This window comes from Homo sapiens, chromosome 1 (genome assembly GCF_000001405.40).
Source record: "Homo sapiens chromosome 1, GRCh38.p14 Primary Assembly".
Lineage (NCBI taxonomy): Eukaryota > Metazoa > Chordata > Mammalia > Primates > Hominidae > Homo > Homo sapiens.
The window spans coordinates 185057936-185082717 of record NC_000001.11 but is presented as its reverse complement, the minus strand read 5'-3'; the positions used below and the strand labels follow the sequence as shown (position 1 = coordinate 185082717).

The window sequence follows — 24782 nt, the reverse complement described above, 5'->3', positions numbered from 1 at the left end:
ATTCCACCCAGGAACTGCTAACGAACGTACAGGGCAGTGGTGGTCCAAGAAAGAAGTTCTGCAGGCTGGGTGCGGTGGCTCACGCCTGTAACCCCAGCACTTTGGGAGGCCAAGGAGGGTAGATTACCTGAGGTCAGGAGTTCAAGACCAACCTGGCCAACATGGCAAAACCCTGTCTCTACTAAAAAAAAAATAAAAAAATTAGCCAGGTATGGTGGCATGTGCCTGTAATCCCAGCTACTGGGGGGCTGAGGCAGGAGGATCGCTTGAACCTGGGAGGCAGAGGTTGCAGTGAGCCAAGATCGTGCCACTGCACTCCAGCCTGGGTAACAGAGCAAGACTCTGTCTTCAAAAAAAAAAAAAAAAAAAAAAGTTCTGCAGAGGAGACAAGAACCTTGAAGACGCGGAGCATAGTGACCAGCCAGCGGAAGTTGACAACGACCAACTGAGGACAATCATAGAAGCTGATCCTCTTATAACTACACTAGAAGTTACCAAATAACTCAATGTCTACCATTCTATGGTTGTAGCATTTTAAGCAAACTGGAAAGGTGAAAAAGCTCGATAAGTGGGTGTCTCATGAGCTGAGTGAAAATCAAAAATATCGCCATTTTTAAGTGTTGTCTTCTCTTATTCTATGCAACAACAATGAACCATTGGATTGCAACTTGCCACGAAAGTGGATTTTATTTGGTAACTAGTGACGACCCGCTCAGTGGTTGGACTGAAGCACTTCCAAAGCTCCAAAGCACTTCCCAACGGCAAACATGCACCAAAAAAAAGTCATGGTCACTGTTTGGTGGTCTGCTGCCGCTACAGCTTTCTGATCCACTACAGTTTTCTGAATCCCAGCAAAACCATTACATCTGAGAAATATGCTCAGCAAATCGAGATGCACCGAAAACTGCAATGCCCACGGCTGGCACTGATCAACAAAAAGGGCCCAATTCTTATCCACAACAATGCTCAAATGCACGTCACACAACCAACGCTTCAAAAGTTGACAGAGGCCAGGCACGGTGGCTCACACCTGTAATCCCAGCACTTCGGGAGGTTGGGGCAGGTGATCACCTGAGGTCAGGAGTTCAAGACCATCCTGGCCAACATGGTGAAACCGCCCCCCCCCACCCCACCCGTCTCTACTAAAAATACAAAAATTAGTCAGGCATGGTGGCACACACCTGTAATCCCAGCTACTCAGGAGGCTGAGGCAGGATAATCACTTGAACCCAGGAGGCAGACGTTGCAGTGAGCCAAGATTGCACCACTGTACTCCAGCCTGGGCAACAAGAGCGAAACTCCACCTCAAAAAAAAAAAAAAATTGATGGAATTAGGCTACAGTTTTGCCTCACCCACCATAGTCATCGGACCTCTCGCCAACCAACTACCACTTCTTCAAGCATCTTGACAACTTTTTGCAGGGAAGACACTTCCACAACTAGCAGGATGCAGAAAATACTTTCCAAGAGTTCATCGAATCCCAAAGCATGGATTTTTACACTACAGGAATAAACAAACTTATTTCTCATTGGCAAAAATGTGTTGACTGTAATGGTTCCTATTTTGATTAATAAAGATGTGTTTGAGCCTAGTTTTGATTATTTAAAATTCACAGTCCAAAACCGCAATTACTTTTGTACCAAACTAACACATGTGCCATTATTTCTAACATATATCCTAGATAGATCTTTCAGAGAACCAAAACTACTCAGGAGGAATTTCTAAAAATCCATTGGAGGGATTTCTAAGAATTCCAAATGCTAACCCATGTCCCAACCTGTAACTGTGACCCTAGGACTAATTATAAGCAGAACACTCCTTCTGCCTACTGAACGCTACCCTGGAAAATTAATAGGAACTATCAAATAAAACATTCTGCTGAAGTATTATATTTCTAGAGATATTAGTTATCTTGCACATAACCAAATTATATCTGATTTGGATATCTGTATTCCTGTGGCAAATAAGACTTAGGAGTGATTGACAAGTTAGTTGCATTTCCAGAATTTCCTGGTACCATTTGGAAAAACTACAATCTTCATGACTTTGCAGAATTTTCTAGTCTTCCTTATCTTTCTGTTAAGTCTGCATTACAATAATATGTTCTCTGGTATCTACAGTCTTAAATACTACCACATGGATGCTACCTTACCAGATAGTACAGCAGTTGATCCTGAGACCAAAAATAGGGGCAAAGTCTTGCAGACTGCCAAAATCATTATCTCAATTCTTATGAACATGTCACTGAACAGATATACTCTTGAGAATTAGTGTCTCTTTGCTTTAGATCAATATACATCTTCATTTAAATTTAATCTAAATTCACCCTGCCCCAAAATCGATTTAATCTTTTCTCTTCTGTTTAGTGAGAAGCTACATTTCTGCCTGTGGTTCCCCCTTGCCCAAGCCAAGAATGTGAAATACATTTAGCTTCTGTTTTTCAGATCTCAATGAAAAGTGATTTCAATGAACAATATCTGAGAGTCACCTATGTATAGATACTAACATATACACAGAGTAGACAAAGAGGAAAAGAACAAGAATGGATGGCCAAGATACAGTCTGAAAAGCTGAAGAGTAGAGTGGAAGCCAGCAAAGAAGATACGAAGTGAGGTGCCACACAAAATGATCTTAAGGATTTTTTCCAGTGACAAGAATGTGCTCCCTAGATCCCAACAGCCTAAAGATCCTTGTCAACACAACTGAACAAGATCTAGGTCTACTGGGGGCCTATCAAAAGACAAAATTATAACAAGTTTAAAGACACAATTGGCTTTTTTTTTTTTCTGAGACAGTCTCGCTCTTGTTGCCCAGGCTAGAGTGCAGTGGCGCGATCTCAGCTCACTGCAACCTCCACCTCCCGGGTTCAAGCAATTCTCCTGCCTCAGCCTCCTGAGTAGCTGGGACTACAAGGCGCCCAGCACCACACCTGGCTAATTTTTGTACTTTTAGTAGAGACGGGGTTTGCCATGTTGGCCAGGCTGGTCTCAAACTCCTGACCTCAGATGATCCGCCCACCTCAGCCTCCCAAAGTGCTGGGATTACAGGCGTGAGCCACCACAAGCAGCCCACAATTGGCTTTTATTTGGGCTCCTGGAATTGGACAACATCTCATTTTATAAAATAAAATGACTGTTCCAATGAGAGGAGAGGAGGTTGGCTTTAAAAGCAGAAAAAGGCTGAAGAAAGCAGAAACAGAACAAAAAGCAGACTGGTTGTTTCAAAGATGCTTTCCTTTAAAAGGTTAAAACAGGGAGGACTTCCTTATTACGAAGACTCAGGCTGACTATAATCTCCTATTTTCTAGAAAACTGACCTATTTCCAAGTTTGATTATGTGGCACTTAGGATAAGTGACTCCATTCTGGTTTGTTCTGGTCTGGTGGGGTCCAGTGCAAGAGGCTAGTCTAGAACAACAGCCTCCCAAAAATGTTGTTTCACAGGCCCAATTTCCAGTTACAGCTCATTAATTATACTTCTGAAAAAAAGATATATCCGAAACACCAGAAATGCTTCTATACAAAGTAGGTGCTCAAATTTGTGGAGAGAATGTATAAATGAAAAGTAAGCATTAGTCTGAATGAGATAACTTTAGCTGCATAGGCAGAAACAAAATAAATCCGAAAAAAAAAAAAAAAGAAAAGATCTAGTCATAGTAGACCGTGAAAGCTGGCAGCTCCAATAATCAAAGGGAAAATATCAATAAGATATTCAGAATGATCTTTTAGGGACTGCAACCTCTGCCTCCCGGGTTCAAGCGATTCTCCTGCCTCAGCCTCCCAAGTAGCTGGGATTACAGGTGCACACCACCATGCCTGGCAAATTTTTGTATTTTAGTAGAGACGAGGTTTCACCATGTTGGCTAGGCTGGTCTCGAACTCCTGACCTCAGGTGATCCGCCTGCCTTGGCCTCCCAAAGTGCTGGGATTACAGGCGTGAGCCACTACGCCTGGCGAATTTTTCTATTTTTAGTAGAGATGGGGTTTCACCATGTTGGCCAGGCTGGTCTCGAACTCCCAACCTCAGGTGATCCGCCCACCTCGGCCTCCCAAAGTGCTGGGATTTGTAAAATCCCAGCTGGAATGAGTGGAGGAGTGAGCCACTGCGCCAGGCCACCTTCATATTCATATGAAAGATCACTAAGTACATCACTCAGAAAGAATTACTGCTTACTAATGCTGATACTTTATGAGTTAAACTAGGGACCTTCAATCAAGGGGGAGAAGAGGAGCCATGTAAGATAGGGAAACCAAGGAATAACTTTCAAAATAGACATATTAGAGAAGGAAAGAAAGCAGGTCAGTGTGGCTAGTAAATAAAGGGGAACATTCACAAGAAGAGGTTACAGAGCTAAAGAGAAGCCAAGATGGTAATCTTCATAAGAATCAAGTAAGACTAATTTGGGGGCAAAAGACATGTTAGAATGGGTTGAAGAGGAAATCAAACTTGAAACTACATGATTGACTGATTTATGATGGAGTCTCACTTTGTCACCCAGGCTGGAATGCAGTGACAAGATTTCGGCTCACTGCAACCTCTGCCTCCCAGGTTCAAGCGATTCTCCAGCCTCAGTCTCCCAAGCAGCTGGGACTACAGGCACACACCACTACACCTGGCTAATTTCTGTATTTTTAGTAGAAACAGGGTTTCACCCATGTTGGCCGGGCTAGTCTCGAACCTCAAACCTCAGGTGATCCGCTGGCCTTGGCCTCCCAAAGTGCTGGGATTACAGGCGTGAGCCACCACGCCCGGCCCCTTACTTGTCCTTTATAAATGAATAAAACGAAAATACTACCTTATCACAATGTATGGTATATGTAGTGAGAGAAATGTCCCTTAGAAATATTTATAACCTGCAATTTTAAAATAATAAAACAATAATGACTGAAAAAAAACAATGAATCAGGCATTAGAAATTAGAAAATGAACCTAAACAAAGTAAAAGGGGAAAATAATCACTATAAAAGCTGAAATCAAACAACAACAGCCCAAAAAAAAAAAACAAAACAAAACAGATTTGCTCATGAAAGTACAATTTAGTTGTCAGGTACAGCCAATAATATAGCTAAATTTCTAGCCAAAAAAAAAAAAACAAAGTTAATTCCTAACAATTAAAAAACCACACATATGTACGGATATGAGATTTAAAAAATTAAGTCAGAGAACGTTATCTTCAACTCTGTACCAATAAATAAACTATTTCTAATAAAAGTCGTAATAAGTTAGAAATAAATAGAAACATTCTTAACCTCATGAAAAATCTACCGGAAGTCCCAAAACAATCAATGTTAAAACTTTTGACACATTCCTGTTAAAAAAGTCAGGAGCAAAATGAGACCACCCAACACTCTGCTGAAAGTCCTACGTCATGTTATGGTAGGAAAAAAAATAGAGAGGGAGGGAGAGAAGTAGGAGGGAGGGGGGAGGAGGATGGGGAGAGGAACATGGGAAAAGGAAGTGATCAAAGTATCAGTGCAAATAATGATAGCTAACTATAAAATCCAACAAAATCAAAAGCAAAACTATTAGAACTAATAAAAAGCAGTAACATGGTGGAATGAAGATAAAAAAAATGCCAAAAAGGCTACAGTTTTCCTATAAACTAGGAATTACCATTCAGAAATAAATTTTTTAAAAGATCCCATTCACGATAGCAACAAAATTTATAAAATCCTTAAAATAATTTCACAAAATATTGAAAAGACAAAACTCTACAACTTAACTGAAGTATATTAAAGAGGATCTGAACTGAATTAATGTACACATATGTATATAAATTCAATGCAATGCAATCCCAATCAAAATACCAGCAGACAAAATGATTCTAAGGTTTACCTGGAGGATGCAAAAAAAAATGCCCAGAGTATTTTTAAAGAAAAACAGGAGAGAGTTTACCTTAAAACAAACATTAAAGCTTAATAGAAAGCAACACTATGATCTCAAGAAAAAGAAAAACAGATCAATATAACAAAACAAAGGGCTCAAAAACAGATATGTGAATTTAGGGTATTTTAAAATCAGGGATGACAAAAAAAAAATTTAAACCCTTTTCAAATAAATCAGATACCTAAACAAATAAGTGAATTTTAAAATTCTGGAAGGATTAACATAAAAAAAAAAACCATAAAATAAGGCCGGGCGCAGTGGCTCACCCCTGTAATCCCAGCACTTTGGGAGGCCAAGGCAGGTGGATCACAAGGTCAGGAGATCGAGTCCTGGCTAACACGGTAAAATCCCGTCTCTACTAAAAATACAAAAAATTAGCCAGGCATGGAGGCACGCGCCTGTAGTCCCAGCTACTTGGGAGTCTGAGGCAGGAGAATCACTTAAAGCCAGGAGACGGAGGTTGCAGTGAGCCAAGATCGCGCCACTGCACTCCAGCCTGGGCGACAGAATGAGACTCTGTCTCAAAAAAAAAAAAAAAAAAAAAAAAAAAAAAAAAAAAAAAACAACCCATAAAAGATCTAGAAGAAAAGAAGGGCAGCCTAAAAGCAAGATACAATACCCAGAAGACTGAAAGGTTCATATTTCGCCTCACAAAATTTTAAATCCTGCATACAAAATCAACTAGAGACACCATGAGCAAATTTAAAAGATAAACAATAGCTAGGAAAAAAATATGTGCAACATATGTAAATTAACAAAGGCCAATAACGATAATATATACTGAGTACTACATCAAATCAATTTAAAAGACAATATAAGCAAAATGATGAGTAATTAACACAATACATAACCAATAAAATTAAACTGTGCTAAACTTCACTAATAATCAGTAAATTGCAAATCAAAACAATGCGTTCTATATAGGCTCTATTTTTTGTCTGTGATATTGACAAAGATTAAGATGACTAATATTTAGTTGATATGGTTTAAGATTTGTGGCTTCGCCCAAATCTCATGTGGAATTATAATCCCCAGTGTTGGAGGAGGGGCCTGGTGGGAGGTGACTGGATCATGGGAGTGGATTTCCCCCTTGCTGTTCTCGTGTTAATGAGTTCTCACAAGAGCTGATTGTTTAGAAGTGTCTAGTATCTCCCACTGCTCTCTCTTCCTCCTGCTCCAGACATGTAGGACCTGCCTGCTCACCCTTCACCTTCCACCATGAATGTAAGTTTCCTGAGGCCTCCCCCAGCCATGCTTCCTGTACAGCCTTGCAGAACCTTGAGCCAACTAAACCTCTTTTCTCTATAAATTATCCGGTCTCAGGGAGTTACACAGCAATGCAAGAACACTAGTGTTTAAAAGTGTGTGCAGAAACAGGAATTGTCGAACCATTGGCAAAGTTCTGGGGAACAGAACAATTTGGCAGTTAAGGCATAATTACAGTATTTCGCATAAGGAATGTATTTCTTGAAATGGAAAATGGTTGAATCAAGCTATATGGGGCCATTACAGAATCTCTATGGACATGCTGTAAGAAATACACAATACAGTAGCTCATGTCTGTAATCCCAGCACTTTGGGAGGCCGAGGCGGGGGGATCACCTGAGGTCAGAAGTTCGAAACCAGCCTGGCCAACACGGCGAAAACCCGTCTCTACTAAAAATAAAAAAATTAGCCAGGTGTGGTGATGGGTGCCTGTAATCCAGCTACTAGGGAGGCTAAGGCAGGAGAATGGCTTGAACCCGGAAGGTGTAGGTTGCAGTGAGCTGAGATCACGCCACTCACTCCAGCCTGGGCGACAGAGCAAGGCTCCATCTCAAAAATAAATAAATAACACACACACACACACGGAACTATATATAGTCGTCCCTCAGTATCCAAGGGGGATTGGTTCCAGGACACCCTCTGAGCTCCCCCTCCCCGATACCAAAATCCATGGATACTCAAGTCCCTTATATAAAAAGACACAGCATTTGCATATAACTTACACATACCCTCCTCCTGTGTACTTTAAATCATCTCTAGATTACTTACAATACTCAATACAATGTAAACGCTATGTAAATAATTGTTATATGGTATTGTTTAGAGAATAATGACACGAGAAAAAAAATCTGTACACGTTCAGATGCAACCATACCATTTTTTTTCCCTAATATTTTCAATCTGTAGTTGGTTGAAACCACTGATACAGGAAGGCAGACTGTATCTGGTCTTTTTTTTTCTTTGTATTTGGTCTTAGTCCTTGGTTCCTGGCACAGATCATCTAAAACCTTTGGAATCCCTGAGTCATAAGGGTGAGAGGAGCCACTTTTCTTATTCATAGTAAGCCCCTTTCAACCATACCTAAGTTTATGCTAATATGGTTACTCTAGGTGGGCCCCTAGATAGATTCAGGACAGGGACTGGTTTTCAGGAGAACCAACCACAAGATTAGAGGGTCAGAACATTCAGTCCCATCCTACCCCTACAGTCCCATCCTACCCCTACCACTAAAGAGGGAAAAGAGTTTGGAGATCCAGCTAATTCCCAATGGCCAATGATTTAACCAGTCATGTCCATGTAATGGAATCTCCATTAAATTTTTAAATGATGGAACTCGTGGAAGGTCAGGGTGCCAGAAGGGTGATACACTCTAACTCCACAGGACAGGAGCTCCTATGGTTGGAACCCCAATGGACCTCACTCTCTCTACCTCTTAATATGCTGTATCTTTTATAATGTCCTTTATAACAAACTGATAAATGTAAGTAAAATGCTTTTCTGAGTTCTGTGAGCCATTCTAGCAAATTATCAAACCTGACAAGGGGATTGCGGAAATCCCCAACTTATAGCCAATTGGTCAGAAGTACATGAGGCATGGGCTTAATGGCATCTGAAGTGGAGGCAGTCTCTTGTGGGACTGATCCCTTAATGTGTGGGGTCTGGCACTCACTCTGAGTAGCGTAACCACTGAACTGAATCAACTGTTGGACACCCAGTTGGTGACTAAAGAGTTGGAGAATTGTTAGTGTAGCAAAAAACCACATATTTAGTGTCAGAAATGTTGTGAGAAGAAACAGATTACAGAAGTAGATGCATTTCCCTTTTATTATCTTTGATTGACATACAATAAAAATGTACTGGCTGATGTAATTGTCTTACCTGCATTCCTTGTAAGTAACAGTAGACACATCAGCCCTTAGAACCACAGTATAATATGCATTTTAACATACACAGGTACCTTAAACTATAAAACAATCACATTTATGTGTCCTTTTAAAAAACTCAAAAAATTAACTGCTGTAGATCAAAAGACAGTATCTGAAAAATAGATGCCAATGAAAGAGAATACACTAAAAGAACAGACTGGAATACTCTCTAAAAATTGCTAAGTATCTCTGCTCTTTGGCTGAATAAAAGAATAACAGTCACTCTACTGTCTTAGCTGAATCCTCACCTCTCAAAGCAGCCTGTGTCTGTCAAATGGCTCCTAAGTTTTGATATTGTAATAACTCTCTTAATAAATTTACCCAGCAAAAAAATTTTAAAAAATTAAAAATAAAAAGAAATTTACCCAGCACAAATTCTCACACAGGGATAGAATAAGCATATGCATAAGAATGGTCATCACAGCATTATTTGTAGTAGCAAAAAACCCATAAAAATCTATGTCAATAAAAAAATGGCTAATTAGGAAATGTCCATAGTATAGAATACTACGTAGCTATAAACACTGACACAGAACTCAATATATGTATACAACACACATTAAGTAAAAAAAAAAAAAAAAGCAAGTCGTAGAGCAAAATGTGTAATTTCATCCTATTTAAGCAATTAAAAAAGAAATCTAAACAACCTAAACACATGTCATTCTGAGTTCTGTTCACTATGTTTTTTTGTTTGTTTTTTTGAGACAGAGTCTCATTCTGTTGCCCAGACTGGAGTGCAGTGGCACAATCTCGGCTCACTGCAACTTCCATCTCGTGGGTTCAAGCGATTCTCCTGCCTCAGACTCCCAAGTAGCTGGGACTACAGGCGCGTGCCACTATGCCCGCCTGATTTTTTGTATTTTTATTAGAGATGGGGTTTCACTGTGTTAGCCAGGATGGTCTCGATCTCCTGACCTCATGATCCGCCCGCCTCAGCCTCCCAAAGTGCTGGGATTACAGGCATGAGCTGTTCAGTATGTTTTAGCCACATCTGCCATCTTTCTCTTCATCAGTCTTGCAAAGATCATTCTCATTTTAGAGTCCTTCCACTAGCTAGTCCTTCTGCTTGGAAAGGAATGATTTCTTCCCCCCAAGATTTTCCCATAGCTAGCTCCCTCATGCATTCTAAAGAAATTCTAACCTTGTAATTCTTTATCTCACGTTCTCTCTTTTCTTAACCATAGCACTTTTATAGCCTCTAAGATTTTTAAGAGTAGTTATCTCTTATTTACCACAATATCCCCAATACCTTGCACTGTACCTGGCATATAGTAGTCATTCAATAAATATTTGCTTAAGAACTCATCAATGGTGATGAATAAATAAAAAGAGGAGTTCAAATTAGGCAACCTCAACATTTCACATTTTCATGCCTAAAAAAATAACCAAAAACCCCTCAACATGAGAGTCCAGATATTCTTCACAGTCACCTTGGTTTATTGCTTCAACTGTGCTTGGAACCCCCACCCTAGCCAGCACCTCAGAGTCAGCCCCCTGCTACCTCCTCACAGCACCCTCTAGCAGCCCCAAGGCTCCTGCCACCATTTCAGTGCTACCTCTTCTTAGCCACCTCCCATGATGACAGCAACCCCTACCACCATGACCATCAACTGCCAGATTAATCTCTAGCTTTGTCTCCACATCTACCTATTCATGTCTTACTACTTTGTCCACAATGATATGGCTTTGCCATGACATTTCTTCACCAATGTCATGAGGAGAGAAAATATAATGAGAAAGTGACAGAGCTGCACAACCAACAAAGAGGCCTAATATTCCTTCGGCATATCAAGAAACCAGACCATAATGAATGGGAGGGCAGGTTGAAGACAATGGAGCACGTATTATACTTGGAAAAAAGCATGAATCAGTCACTACTGAAAATGCATGAACTGGCCATTGACAAAACCACACACACTGTGTGACTTCATTGAGATGCATTACCTGAATGAGCAGGTGAAATCTATCAAAGAACTGGGTGACCATGTTCAACTTGTCCAAGATTGGCGGGGAGGTGGGTCTGAATCTAGCATGGCAGAGTAACTCTTTAACAAGTACATCCTGGAAGACAGTAATGATGTGAAAAGAAAATAGAATCTCGGGACTCTAAACGCACGATGCCAAAGGGGAAGTTAAGCTTAGGAACTAAGTAAGGCAATACTACTTTCCTTTTGTTCCCAAACAGATAGCTGTAATTTCACAACCAAGACATATGTAGCCTCATCCATAAGCCACATTCCCACAACAATAGAGGGTCACGTATCTCCCAAGATGGCTTCCCTCGTCTTAATCTTTCAGGATACATATCTTCCCTATAAACTAGCCCGGAAACTGAGTTCTGTTGAAGCTCACCTTAACAATGTCAATTACCAGCTTATCTTCACAGGTAGAAGACAAGGATAAAAACCAGAAATCATCCCTTGGCCTACCCTGAGATGAATGCGTAACTGACTTTTTCCTCTACTCCCTCTTTTCATATGTAAAGTATAGATTTACTGAGGCTAACCAGAGCCTTATAAGAATGTAACCATTTGCCTCACTGCCTACCCTCCCTCCTTTATTCCATCATTTCCACACAAATACTCACTTTGTATTACTTGGCAAACAAAGTATACTTATGCAGAGGTTCCCTAAAACACCATTTCTATCCCACTCTTAAGATACAATCCTTAAGTTAGTTGAGGGAATAAAAATACTGCAGTCTGGCCGGGTGCAGTGGCTCACGCCTGTAATCCCAAGCACTTTGGGAGGCCGAGGCGGGCGGATCACGAGGTCAGGAAATCGAGACCATCCCGGCTAATACGGTGAAACCCAGTCTCTACTAAAAATAAAAAAATGAGCCGGCGAGGTGGCGGGCACCTGCAGTCCCAGCTACTCGGGAGGCTGAAGCAGGAGAATGGTGTGAACCCGGGAGGCGGAACTTGCAGTGAGCTGAGATCGCGCCACTGCACTCCAGCCTGGGTGACACAGCAAGACTCGGTCTCAAAAAAAAAAAAAAAAAAGAAAAGAAAATACTGCAGTCTACAGAAGTTAGATGTAGCAAAGAATAAGGTTCATGTGAAAAAAACTGAGGATAATACTAATTGAGGTTCCCATTCAACTCTTTGAGATCCCAAGGCTCTCAAATAATCCTCTGACTGGGCCATACATTTGTTCCCAAGACCATTCAAGGAAAAACGGATCCATTAAACCATAAATTCCCCAAAGTAAAGGCAGAGAACTATTTTAGGGATCCCTTTATGTTATAAAACAACAAATGAGACAGTCAGAAAGCACAGTAAATGATCTTTGGAACTGGATCAGCTTGGATTTGCATCCTTGCTCTAGCAGTCACTAGCTGTGGATTCATAGGCAAATTTCTCAACCTCTTAAGGCTTTTTTTTAATCTGCAAAGTGATAAAAATTTTCAGGTTCACTAGCAAAACTGAATGAGATATTCATATGAAGTACCTGGCACATTCCATACATGACAATCATAAACTAGGTGATATCATCTTCTCTATTATTTCAATTTGAAGAAGCATTTCTATTTCCTAGTCCCCTAACATGTAAAAGACCAGGGAGAAAATTATTTAGCTACCCCCAACTTACTGAGAATTTTACATTAATACTCTGTCAAAAGAATAAGTTATTTTAGAGAAGAAAATACTGAAAGTACTAAAATCTTTGGTTAATGTGCCTCATAAGCAGAAAATCAATGGCTGATTCAAGACTACTCATTTAAGACTTATTCTATAACGAACAAAATTTGCCAGAAAGGGCAGATTTCTTTATTAGTTGTCAACTGTTAGTAATCTGTATGTGGCTAAATATTTGGTTCCTGGAAGCTTAAGGGAAAAAGAAGCATACTGAACAGAGATATTTCGGGCTTAAATTTCATTAGAAATTAGCAAATTATTTATAAAATGTCTCTTGGATTACCCTCCTCCCTAGCTCCAAACACATACCCAATCTTTGAGAGGATTAAGATATTATAGGCTAGGCACACTGCTGTCTGATGATTAAGAGTATAGGGCTAAAGTATACAGAATCTACATGGCCTTTACTCTTTGGTCAGACTCTCAATAAACCAGTCTCAAGTGAGACCCTAGCATGTGCTGGATCACTGTGAACTCATAGCTCAGCCCTTAGATAAATAGCCTCAAATGTGTATGTTCTGCATTTCTTTTTTTTTTTTTTTTTTTAGACAGGGTCTCACTCTTATCACCCTGGCTGAAGTGCAGTGATGCAATCATGGCTCACCACAGCCTTGACCTCCTGGGCTCAGGCAATCCTCCCGTCTTAGCCTCCCAAGTAGCTGAGACTACAGGCATGAACCACCATGCCAAGTTGGTTTTTGTGTGTATTTTTTGTAGAGACGGGGTTTCACCATGTTCCCCAGACTGGTTTCGAACTCCTGGGCTTAAGCAATCCGCCAACCTTGGCCTTGCAAAGTGCTGGGATTACAGGCATGAGCCACTCACCCAGCCAAATGTATATTTTCAATAGTATAGGTGAAAGAGGAATTCATAATAAATAGCACATTAACAGGCAAAAGAGCTTACACTATGTTGTAAAATTTTAGGAGCCTAAATTGTACTCTTACCAGAGTAGTTATGAGGGAGAAGGCAGCAATAAGGGAGCTTCCAAATTGGATGAAACATTTTACTCAAAAAAGGAACTTTAAATGTAACATTTTGAGCAAAACTGTCAAGAGTTCTGCACCTAAAAATGTTTAACAGCTGCTTTAATCGTAAAAATTTTCTGGTCTATACAGAGTATCTGAAATAAAGCTATAGTTTAATATGAGTGAGCTATAAATTATACTCCCCAAAAGGAGAAAGAGTTTAGGTAAACTGAGTTACTTAGAAATGTCCATTTACATTCTGAACAATGATTGCTATATTAGTTTTCTATGGCTACTGTAACATTATCACAAATTTGAAGGCTTATAACAACAGTAAGTTATTCTCTCACAGTTCTGAAGGCCAGAAGTCCTAATTCAATATCACTGGGCCAAAATAAAAGTACTGGCAGGATTGCACTTGGCTTCCAGAGGCCCTAGGGGAGAATCTGTTCCTTACCTCTTTCAGGTTGGGGCAAATGCCAGTATGCCTTGGCTTGTGACCATATCACTCCAATCTGCCTCTGTGGTCACACTGCTTCATGCTCTTCTGTGGCTGTAATCTCTCTCTGCCCCTTCTCTTATAAAGTTACATGTGGTAACATTTAAGGCCTACCTGGATAATCCAGGACAATCTCATCTCAATACCATTAACTTAATTACACATGCAAAGAACCTTTTTCAAAGTAAATTAACATTTACAGGTTCCAGAGACCAGAATGTAGATATCTTTTGGGGGACATTTTTCAGCCTACCACACTGACCAAAGTAAGAGTGACTATAACCCACCAATGAATATAACCAACTACCCACAGACAACACTTAAGTCTTTATCCTGCATACATGCTGTTTCCTTAATTTGTTTTTAAACAAATGTGAAATACATTTCAGAAAATGTAACCACTTTACAGGAGGCTGAGGCAGGAGAATCGCTTGAACCTGGGAGGCAGAGGTTGCAGCGAGCCGAGATCGTACCATTGCACTCCAGCGTGGGCAACAGTGCAAGACTCTGTCTCTAAAAAAAAAAAAGGCCGGGCGCTGTGGCTCATGCCTGTAATCCCAGCACTTTGGAAGGCCAAGGCGGGTGAATCATGAGGTCAAGAGCTCAAGACCATCCTGGCCAACACGGTGAAACCCCATCTGTATTAAAAATACAAAAATTAGCTGGGCGTGGTGGCAGGCGCCTGTAGTCCCAGCTACTCGAGAGGCTGAGGTAGGAGAATCGTTTGAACCCGGGAGGCAGAGGTTGCCGAGAGCCGAGATTGCATCACTGCACTCCAGCCTGGGCAACAGAGCAAGACTCCGTCTCAAAAAAAAAAAAAAAAAAAAGGATACTTTTAAATTACTTAATTATCCCATTTCCCTACAAAGCATTTTTTTCATTTGTTTGATATACACTTCCCTAAGCACTATGAAACAAAGAAAAACTAAGATGCCTTCTCTCTCTTTTAATGAGATATGTTTTTCTCTCATAGTTACTGTCCCTTCTGAACACAGTAAAATAAAGGTCACATCAAATTAACTCTCTCAATCTTTAGCATTTTTCTTTTCCTTTTATGTTATATTACACAAATGTAAATGAGCAAATAATTTCTTCCTTAATTAAAGCAATGCTTGCTTACAGGATACAGGTGTTATATTTTAGAAATTTACTCAAGACTAGGCAAATAATAAATTGTGAGTAAGCAATCCAACTGCCATCATAACACTGCCTGCGGTAACACCTCATAAAAACCACTTTCCGCAGTTCAATCTAAAACTACAGCTGTAAGACAGACGCTAATTTCTGTAAGCTTCTAAAGACACAAAGTGTTCTTTACTGAAAAGCTTGTCACTGTACTGAACATCTGGAATACTCATCTAAATTACTCTTGGTAGCCTAATAGCTTCTTTATTTAAAGAAGCAATATCAATTCCTAATTTGATTGTATCTTTTCCACAATATGGAACATACAACAGAAAGCACTTAAAGGTAATTTGCCAAATCTCCATTATCCGGTCTTAAGTTTTTGAATACTAGTAATAAACTTAACATTTCTAGACTCTCTATAACTAAGTTGTCTTACAAGGAAATGTTTTTAAGATTTTTAAAGCTTCCTTTAAAATGCAGATCTAGATAATTTAGTGTGATCTGTGCTTCCTACCACATTTCTCCCATCAGCCATCAATCACTATCTCATCTCCTCTAACACTACTACTACCCCTGCCCCCACCACAGACATAGATACTTTAATAGCCCAATTTAATCTGTTTTTAAGGTTTTAAGATACACCTATCAAGGTCTAATATGAGTCAACACTAATTATAACAGCAGCAGCCTTATTTTCTTTCTGTCCCTTTGCCTACCCATATTAGAAGCTAACAGATCCATAATGAAAACCAGTTGAGTTCAACCATTTAGGAAACATTTATTGAGCTATCATGTGATAGAAAATGAGAACCTCTAACAATGTATTGGCTACTGAGGCAGACAATCCTTGAACATGTTTTCAATATGATTTGATAAATGCTAAGAAGGCATAAATAAGCAGTCAAATGGGAGAGCAGAAATCAGAAAATGTTTCCTGGAGAAAGAGACTCATTCTTGGAGGAAGAGTTTAAGGTGAAGTGAAAGTTAACCAAGCGAGGAAAGAAAGCAGTCCTGAAGGACCAACATAATAAGGAAAGGTACACTCAGCATGGCATGTCTGGGAAACTCCAAGTAGTTCACTATTAAATGAGTGGAAAAGAAGGTGGGGAGTACAGCCTCAGCACAGGGTGAGGCTGAAAAATTTAAATGTGAACTAGATCAGTGAGGCCTAGTATGCAATACAAAGGTATCAAGAAAGATCCACAGTGCAATGACGAAGAGATCACCTTTGGCCAACAGTAAAGGATGGATCTGAGAAAATCAAGAATCCTAATCTGTGCAATAATCTGAAGAGATGAGAAAGGCCTACAGTAGAGCTGTTAATAAGAATAAATTAGAAAAGGCAGAGCTCAAAAATAACAATACATGGGATATAGGAAATGACAAAGGAAGGAAAGAAAAGGACTCCTAAGCTTGTGGCTGTGTAGATGCTGATACTAAAAAAAAAAAAATGAGACAGTATAGCAGAAAGTAGTATTTTTATCACTTCTATTCAACATACTAGTGGAAGTTCTAGCTAGAGCAAGTAGGGGGGAAAAAAAGGAAACAGAAATAAAAAGCATCCAAATTGTAAAGGAAGTAAAACAGTATCTTTGTAGATGACATTGTGTCCAGAGTTTATGCCTTCCAGTGGTTTCTTGCTCTCGCTGACTTCAAGAACGAAGCCGCAGAACTTCACAGTGAGTGTTACAGCTCTTAAAGATGGTGTGTCCGGAATTTGTTCCTTCAGAGGTGTCTAGGAGTTTCTTCCTTCCGGTGAGTTAGTGGTCTCGCTGACTTCAGGAGTGAAGCTGTGGACCTTCGCAGTGAGTGTTACAGCTCTTAAAGGTGGCGCGTCTGGAGTTGTTTGGCCCTCCTGGTGGGTTCATGGTCTGGCTGACTTCAGGAATGAAGCTGCAGACCCTGATGGTGAGTGTTACAGCTCATAAAGGTAGTAGTGCCGACCCAAAGAGTGAGCAGCAGCAAGATTTATTGTGAGGAGCAAAACAACAAAGCTTCCACAGCATAGAAGTGGACCAGAGAAGGCTGCCACTGGGGCCTTCGGTGGCCAGCTTTTATTCCCTTATTTGGCCCTGCCCACATCCTACTGATTGGTCCATTTTACAGAGTGCTGATTGGTCCATTTTTTCACAGTGCTGACTGGTGCATTTACAATCCTTTAGCTAGACACAGAGCACTGATTGGTGCATTTTTAGAGTGCTGACTGGTGCATTTACAATCCTTTAGCTAGACACAGAGGGCTGATTGGTAAATTTACAATCCTTTAGCTAGACAAAGAGGGCTGATTGGTGCGTTTTTACAGAGTGCTGACTGGTGCATCTTACAATCCTTTAGCTAGACAGAAAAGTTCTCCAAGTCCCCACCCGACCCAGAAGTCCAGCTGGCTTCATCTCTCAACATGATCTTATATGCAGAAAGCCCTGAAGACTCCACACATACACACAAAACTGTAAAAAGCTGAATAAATGAATTCAGCAACGTTGCAAGAAAAAAACAAAACAATCAGTTTCATTCATATACACTAACAATGAACAACCTGAAAAGGAAATTAAAAAAAAATTCCATATACAACAACATAAAATAATAATGCTTAGGAATAAACTTAAGCCAAGGAGGCACAAGACTTGCATAATGAAAATTACAAAACATTCTGAAAGGTATTACAGACATAAATAAATGGAAAGACATCCCATGTTCATGGATTTGAAGACAAAATATTATTAAGATAACAATAAAGATGCTCGTTGACCTACATGGGGTTACATCCCAATAAACCTATCAAAAATTGAAAATATCTTAAGTCTAAAGTGAAACCACAGTAAGTTGAAAATATAAGCTTAAAGTGTTTTCAACTTTCAATGTTTTCAATTTAAGATGGGTTATCCAGATGCAGCCCCATCACAAGTCAAGGAGCATGCTGAATGCATATTGCTTTTGTACCACTGTAAAGTTGAAAAATCGTAAGTCGAACCACTGTAAATTGGAGACCATCTAGACTATCCAAAGCATTACCAAAAAAATCAGAGTATGAAATCCTGCCAGTGTTGAAATAAAGTACCTATTCTGTAGGATTCTATGAAGAATAAACAATAGCTATTATTATTGGTGCAATAAGACTAGCTATCCTATCCTATCCAACCTACATTCCTAAGAATAAAGTAGAAATTGAAGATTGTTCCTGAGGTAATAAACATTAATCATAACTTACTATATAGAAGCTAATTTATTTAGGGCTAGAATATGATATAAATTTAAGACAGATTGAAATATTCCATTTGTTAATTTTAAATGCCCTTCTGAATTAAGTCTCTAACTATGGCAGTGTGAATAATAGGTCCCCAAAGGTGTCCACGTCCTAATCCCCAGAATTTGTGCATGTTAACCTTACATGGCAAAATGGACTTTGCCAATACAATTAAATTACAGCTCTTAAGATGGGGAGATTATCCTGGATTATCCAGGTTTGGCACAATGTAACTGCAAAGGTCCTTAAGAGGCAGACAAAGCGATGTGATGTGAGAAGCAGAGTCAAAGAAGCTGTGATGAAGTAGGCCAGGGTAGTAGTCCAAGAGAGCAATCTAAGACACTGGGAAGCTGGCCTGAAGATGGAAGAAGGGGCTGCAAATTAGAATGCAGGTAACCTCCAGAAGTTAGAAAATGAAAGAAAATGAATTCTCCCCTAGAGACTCCAGAAACGTCACAGACCTTCCAACACCTTAATTTCAATCCCGTAAGACTCATTTTGGACTTCTTACTGCCAGAACTGTAAAATAGTAAGTTTGTGTTGTTTCAAATTACTACATTTTGGTAATTTGTTACAGCAACTATATGAAACTTATACACCAGTTGAACCCTAATTACCAGAAGATGGTAAGAGTGGGAGAAGGTGACAAAAAATGCGAACTTCGGTTTATTTGCTCAATAGTCTTATCTTCTGCCAAAAGAAAACTAAATGCACTCACAGGAAAAGAGTCTTCCTCTAGAGAAGTAGTTCTCAAATCTGGCTATATATAAGGAATCATCTTTCATCTGGATGAAATTTTAAACAATTCTGATACCAAGGTTGCATTTCAGACTCACTGAATCAGTATCTTTACCCCTCATCCACCCCCAGTTTAAAAGCCAGCCAAATGGTTTTTATGTGCAGCCAGTTTTGAGAACCACTATTCTACGTATTCTGTGTAAAAATTACTGTTTCAGTGACCTAAGAAACATCTGGCATTTCCAAATGGTACTTCCCCAAATAAAGACATTGCTCAGAATTCACTCATTTACAGTTACAGGTTTAGTGTATATTTTGCTAACTTTAACAGTAAGAAGTTACCCTTGGCAAAAAGTTGTCCAGGACAAATTCCTAGAAGTGGAATTACTGGATCAAAGGGCAAGTACATTTTTTTATTCTGACAAATACTGCTAAATTATTATACCAACTTACATTTCTACCAATTAGGGAAGAGCAACATTTTTTTAAAAAACCCTGCCCAATCTGATAAGTGGGAGGGAAATGATACTTCTTTGTTGTTTTAATTGGCAAGCCTCAATCATGAGTGAAACAGTATCTTTTCACAGCTTTATTGGCCTTTTTTTGGGGGGGGGGAGGTCTACCAATTATTTATATCCATTTCTGTCAGGTTTTTTTTTTAAGTTAACTTGTAAGAACTCCTTCTTTTAAGGAAATTGACCTTTTGTCTGTCATGAGTGTTAATTTTCCCCAGTTTGCTGCTTTGTCTTTTGTCTTTGACTTCTTCAGTACATAACTTTTATCTTTTATATATTTTTAATGTACTTTTCTTCTATGGCATCTTTGGAAGCCATACTCTAAAATTATAAAAAACAACCACCTATACTTTCTTGCAATTTTTTTTTACATGTAAAGAGGATAGGTTCTAGCTACTCCATTCCATGTAATGGGCAAGTTTCCCAACATCATTGTTTAGTTCTCTCTTCTCCACTGATAAGTTAGCATGCTATCTTCTAATTCATGACAAAGATGGGAAAAGAGAGAGAAATATGTGTATATGTGAATATATACACATATATTTTATGTGTATATAATATGCATGTGTGTCTATCTGAAAACTGTAAAACATGAGCTTAATACACTATAACTTCCTACACTGTCAACAATAAATGATTGCCTGATTCAGGTATACACAGTGTATAAATTCCTTAATAAGGTTACAAAATATGAACATGGCAATGAGAACACTATCCCCACAGCTGCCTTTGAAAAAGCAACACAACTGTCACAAAGCTACCTGCCTCTTTCTTCCTCAAAAGCAGTTAAAAGTTCTCCCTAGCAGTTTTCTTCCATGTTTGTACTCAGCCTTGTAAAATATTTGCTGCTACAAGGTGGAGATAACTTGATTACAGGAATACTGGTTACTGAAACAGGAGTAAGCACAAATTTTCTATTATACAAATACACGTGAATGGTAAAGAAGCACTGCTTCTAGATTCTTGGGTGAACCACAGGGCTGGTCACTTATAGCTGAGGGTCCAGTTTCCTCATTTGTAAATTTAAACCTTTATGTTAAGTAGCATCAAGAGCTCTCTAAACTGTAATATTCTGTGGATCAAAGCATGCTAAATGTTTCTGACAGTACATTGCCTAAAAACAGTCTTGTTCTCCTGAGCTAAGAAAATACTCTACCTTTAGCAATGTCTTTCAACTTGAATACTTCAGCCAGCAACCAGTTGTTTCCTCTAATCTTTTATCTTCTAAGTCAAAAAGAGGTATACTGCATATTAAAATTCACACATCTAGCTTCCCCCAAGTCATAGCTAATGATTCCTGCCGTTTTTTTCCCACTCTGTCTTAAAGAGAATAGCTAGTTCCATACTTCTCCACATCCACCTGCCATAATTGCATATGTATTTGAAACAATGAGCTAGCTATCGTTTTCCTCTATACTGTTGGCCTTGGTGCTAAAGGCTGCACATTCGGGGTTTTGTGATCTTGTGTGTTTTTTTTTGTTTGGTGGGTTGGTTTCTGCCTGAGATCAGAAGCTTTCATTTCTGTTTCCCTTTTTTTTTCCCCTTTTAAGAGATAGGGTCTTGAGACCATCCTGGCTAACATGGTGAAACCCCGTCTCTACTAAAAATACAAAAAATTAGCCGGGCATGGTGGCGGGCGCCTGTAGTCCCAGCTACTCGGGAGGCTGAGGCAGGAGAATGGCGTGAACCCGGGAGGCAGAGCTTGCAGTGAGCCGAGATCCCGCCACTGCACTCCAGCCTGGGCGTCAGAGCGAGATTCCGTCTCAAAAAAAAAAAAAAAAAGAGAGAGAGAAATAGGGTCTCACTCCAGCACCCAGAGTGGAGTGCAGTGGCTCAGTGACTCATGGCTCACTGTAACCTCAAACTCCTAGGCTCAAGCGATCCTCCCATGTCAGCCTCCCAAGCAGCTAGGACTACAGACTCATGACCACGCTCAGCTACTTTTTTAACTTTTCATAAAGATGGGATCTCGCTATGTTGCCCAGGCTGGTATTGAACTCCTGGCCTCAAGTGATCTTCCTACCTCAGCCTCCCAAAACACTGGGATTACAGGTGTGGGCCACCTTGCCCAGCCTGTTTCCTCAATTCTTAACTGTCTGTCCCTCTGACAAGACATATTCCTTACACTGGTACTCATTCCTCCTGGTTCTCATCTGCCAGGCTAGATTTTTTCATCTTCTCCAAGGATGTTTCAACCTCTGCTTGCCAAAGGGTTTCCAGTCTACTGATTCATCCAATTTATTTAAATCTAGTGACCCATTAGTCAACTAAACCTCAGACTTTGGCATAACCCAGGCTCTCAGTCCTGAACACATATCAACTCTACACTAAATTCATCACATTCTTATAAAGGACTACCTTTAATTCTCCGAGTGCCCTCAGACCAAGAGAAACAAAGAATGTCAATAATTTCCTAAGCAGAACAGAAAAATTTTGAGTCCTTAAGTGAGCAAGGGAAACTACCAACTTCAGTTCATATCCCTACTCAGATAATAGGAACCTCTAAACAAGGGAGTATACTTATGTGGTGGCAGTATCCAGGTTACTACTGACTGTTGACTGCCACTCTATGCTGACACCACACATGACTGGCCCCAATAAATAAACCTGTAGACTTAATGATACAGATCAGTTATCTGTATCTTTGTGAGGGATATGTGAAACACAACTAAGGCATAAAGCAAAGCTAAAAGATTTACACAGATCTGAATTAAAGACAAACCAAAAAGAGAAGTCTAACTACTGACTCTTAGTCCAGGGCCTCATATGCCACAGCATAAGTCAGCAGCTTCTGCAAAGTGGTATATTCCAAGATTGTTATCCTTTCCTGGGTAGAGAAATGTTCATCAAGTTCCAATGTTAGCTTTAGCAAGTGGCAACGCAAGAAGTCACAGTAACATTCCCTTGTGTCAATGGAAATATACTAACAAGTTCTACTTTTCTGGGAAGGCCACAGTCTGTTGGCAAATTAAATCTGTGGTCAGGTAGAGACCTAAGAAAATAATCAGATTCAGAAAGATGAGAGAGAAAAGTTGAAGGCTAATACCTCTACACTCTTCTAACAGGAACTGGAATAACCCATTCAAAAACCAGCTAAGGAATTCATTTCTAGAGATAAAAATATAATTTTCATATTCTTTGTCCAAGTAATCCCAGTTGTGGAAAATAATGCTATTAACGTGCTTAATGGTCTCATAGTAAATGTCAGAGGCAAGACTCAAACCCAGGTCTGAGTGAGAAGGCCATGCTCTTAGCCCCCAACCAAACATATGATTATTACTACTGCTACTACAACAATAATGCCATTAACATGAAGATGTCTGCTGCAACCAGGACACTTTTCCAGTCGTTAAATATAACAATTAATACCATATGTAATGACTGGAAGTACTTGTAATGTGATTAGAGATAACACTAATTTGCATCTGCGCTACAAGGACAGCTACGTAAAAGTTATGTTCTAGAAGGTGATATGGACTCGGTACTTTTTTCCCTCAGTATTTCAACTCCCACTATTACTGTTACCATATTACAATAAGGCACAGATTTTTAGCAGTTTTAAGGCAAAAATAGCCAAGAACAGATAAGCAAAGAATGTGTTTCCTGTGTCCCCCGTCACATAGGTAGATTTTCTTTTGCAGAAAAAGAAAAAGAAAAACTATTACGGAGGTTTTTTTTTTTTAATCCAGACTGGGATTCAGGAGACTTCTATTCTCATTTTTCATTCTTGAAACAATTCCAAAAGGTAGACTAACTTAATCTCTCTCTTCTCTTCTGGCCTTGTCGCCAGATTTCTGCAACTTGCAACAAAAAAGCTTAATCCTGGCAGAAGTAGCTCCAGAGGTTTCAAAGGCTGAAAGAAAGCCAGGGACCAGGAAGAGGAAGCTAGAACAAGAAACCAGAAACTAGTAGAAGTTTTATAGCTCTGATAAATCTAAAATTAGCACAATATTTAGGTTCACAAAAGCAGCAAAAGTATGGCACACTTCATATATACTGGAAATCAACATGACTTTAACCAAGTCAATATACAGACCTAAACCTCTTTATCTATAAAATGAGCACGTTTTAAGTGATATCTAAAAAAATCTATTGCTCTGGAAATATTGCAAAGAGCTCCAAACAATAAAAATACATATACCGAAATGCCCATTAGGGCAAAGCTACTTATAAGCAACTAGACTTTGATAATCTTAATGTGAGTTCTTCAAATAATCAATATTAAAAAGAGAAAACCATAACACAATAAAGAAAAACTTAAGTAGTTAAAGTAGCAAAATCCATTCTCTCAAAAGCAAAACTCATTCCACATTACCGAACAATAAAGAGGAAGGAAAACCAACATTAATTCAAGACAACAGATACTGTTTCAAATACTTTTTACAGTTTTCCCTCTACTTCCACTTTTAACAAAATTCCTGTTAGGTCCATGGTTTTTAACTTTTCTGGGTCTACATTCCTCTTAAGAATCTGATGAAAGTAAGGAACTCTCACCTCTGGGAGAAAAAAAGACATACAAAAGCACATGCACACAAAATTACAGAGTACAGTCCTCCCTGAGTATCCATGGGGTTCTGAAGATACCCCGCACACCACAGACACCAAAAGCCACAGATATTCAAATCCCTTACATAAATAAAATGGGGTAATATTTGCATAACCTACACACATCCTCTGATATTCTTTAAATCATCTCTAGATTACCTATACTACCTAATACAATATAAATGCTATGTAACTAGTTGCTAGACTGCATCTTTAAAATTTGTATTACTATTATTATCTGAGATGGGGTATCGCTCTGTCAGCAATGCTGGAATGCAAAGGCGCAATCAAGGCTCACTGCAGCCTCAACCCTCCCAGGCTCCGGTGATGTTCCCACCTCAACCTCCTGAGTAACTGAGACTATAGGTGTGCACCACCAAGCCCGGCTAATTTTTGTATTTTTTGTAGAGACAGGGTCTCACCATGTTGC

At 39.5% G+C, this 24782-nt stretch overlaps 1 protein-coding gene and 1 pseudogene across 3 annotated transcripts in view, besides 2 other annotated features; one reads left to right on the top strand and one right to left on the bottom strand.

Moving 5' to 3' along the window:
* The window catches only part of RNF2 (ring finger protein 2), a 57046-nt gene that overhangs the window by 19886 nt on the left and 12378 nt on the right, over positions 1–24782 (bottom strand). The window contains exon 1 of one of the 3 annotated variants that reach the window (XM_011509851.4): positions 11022–12050. The exons of the other annotated variants lie outside the window; for them this stretch is intronic. The gene's annotated coding sequence lies outside the window, so the exon portion shown is untranslated. Of the gene's footprint in view, positions 1–11021; positions 12051–24782 lie in introns of those variants that run through there. 3 annotated transcript variants of the gene reach the window in all.
* Positions 9763–9895: a silencer, noted in NCBI's record as "fragment chr1:185041955-185042087 (GRCh37/hg19 assembly coordinates)". NCBI's record gives its function as "represses an EF-1alpha promoter that drives an FKBP-Casp9 reporter gene in an ReSE screen in HepG2 liver carcinoma cells {active_cell/tissue: HepG2}" and the evidence as "EXISTENCE:reporter gene assay evidence [ECO:0000049][PMID:32094911]".
* Positions 10683–11153, top strand: FTH1P25 (ferritin heavy chain 1 pseudogene 25; annotated as a pseudogene).
* Positions 16536–17735: an enhancer, noted in NCBI's record as "BRD4-independent group 4 enhancer chr1:185034115-185035314 (GRCh37/hg19 assembly coordinates)". NCBI's record gives its function as "activates an origin of replication core promoter dependent on BRD2, P300/CBP, MED14 and CDK7 cofactors, and independent of BRD4, by STARR-seq in HCT116 cells {active_cell/tissue: HCT116}" and the evidence as "EXISTENCE:reporter gene assay evidence [ECO:0000049][PMID:35650434]".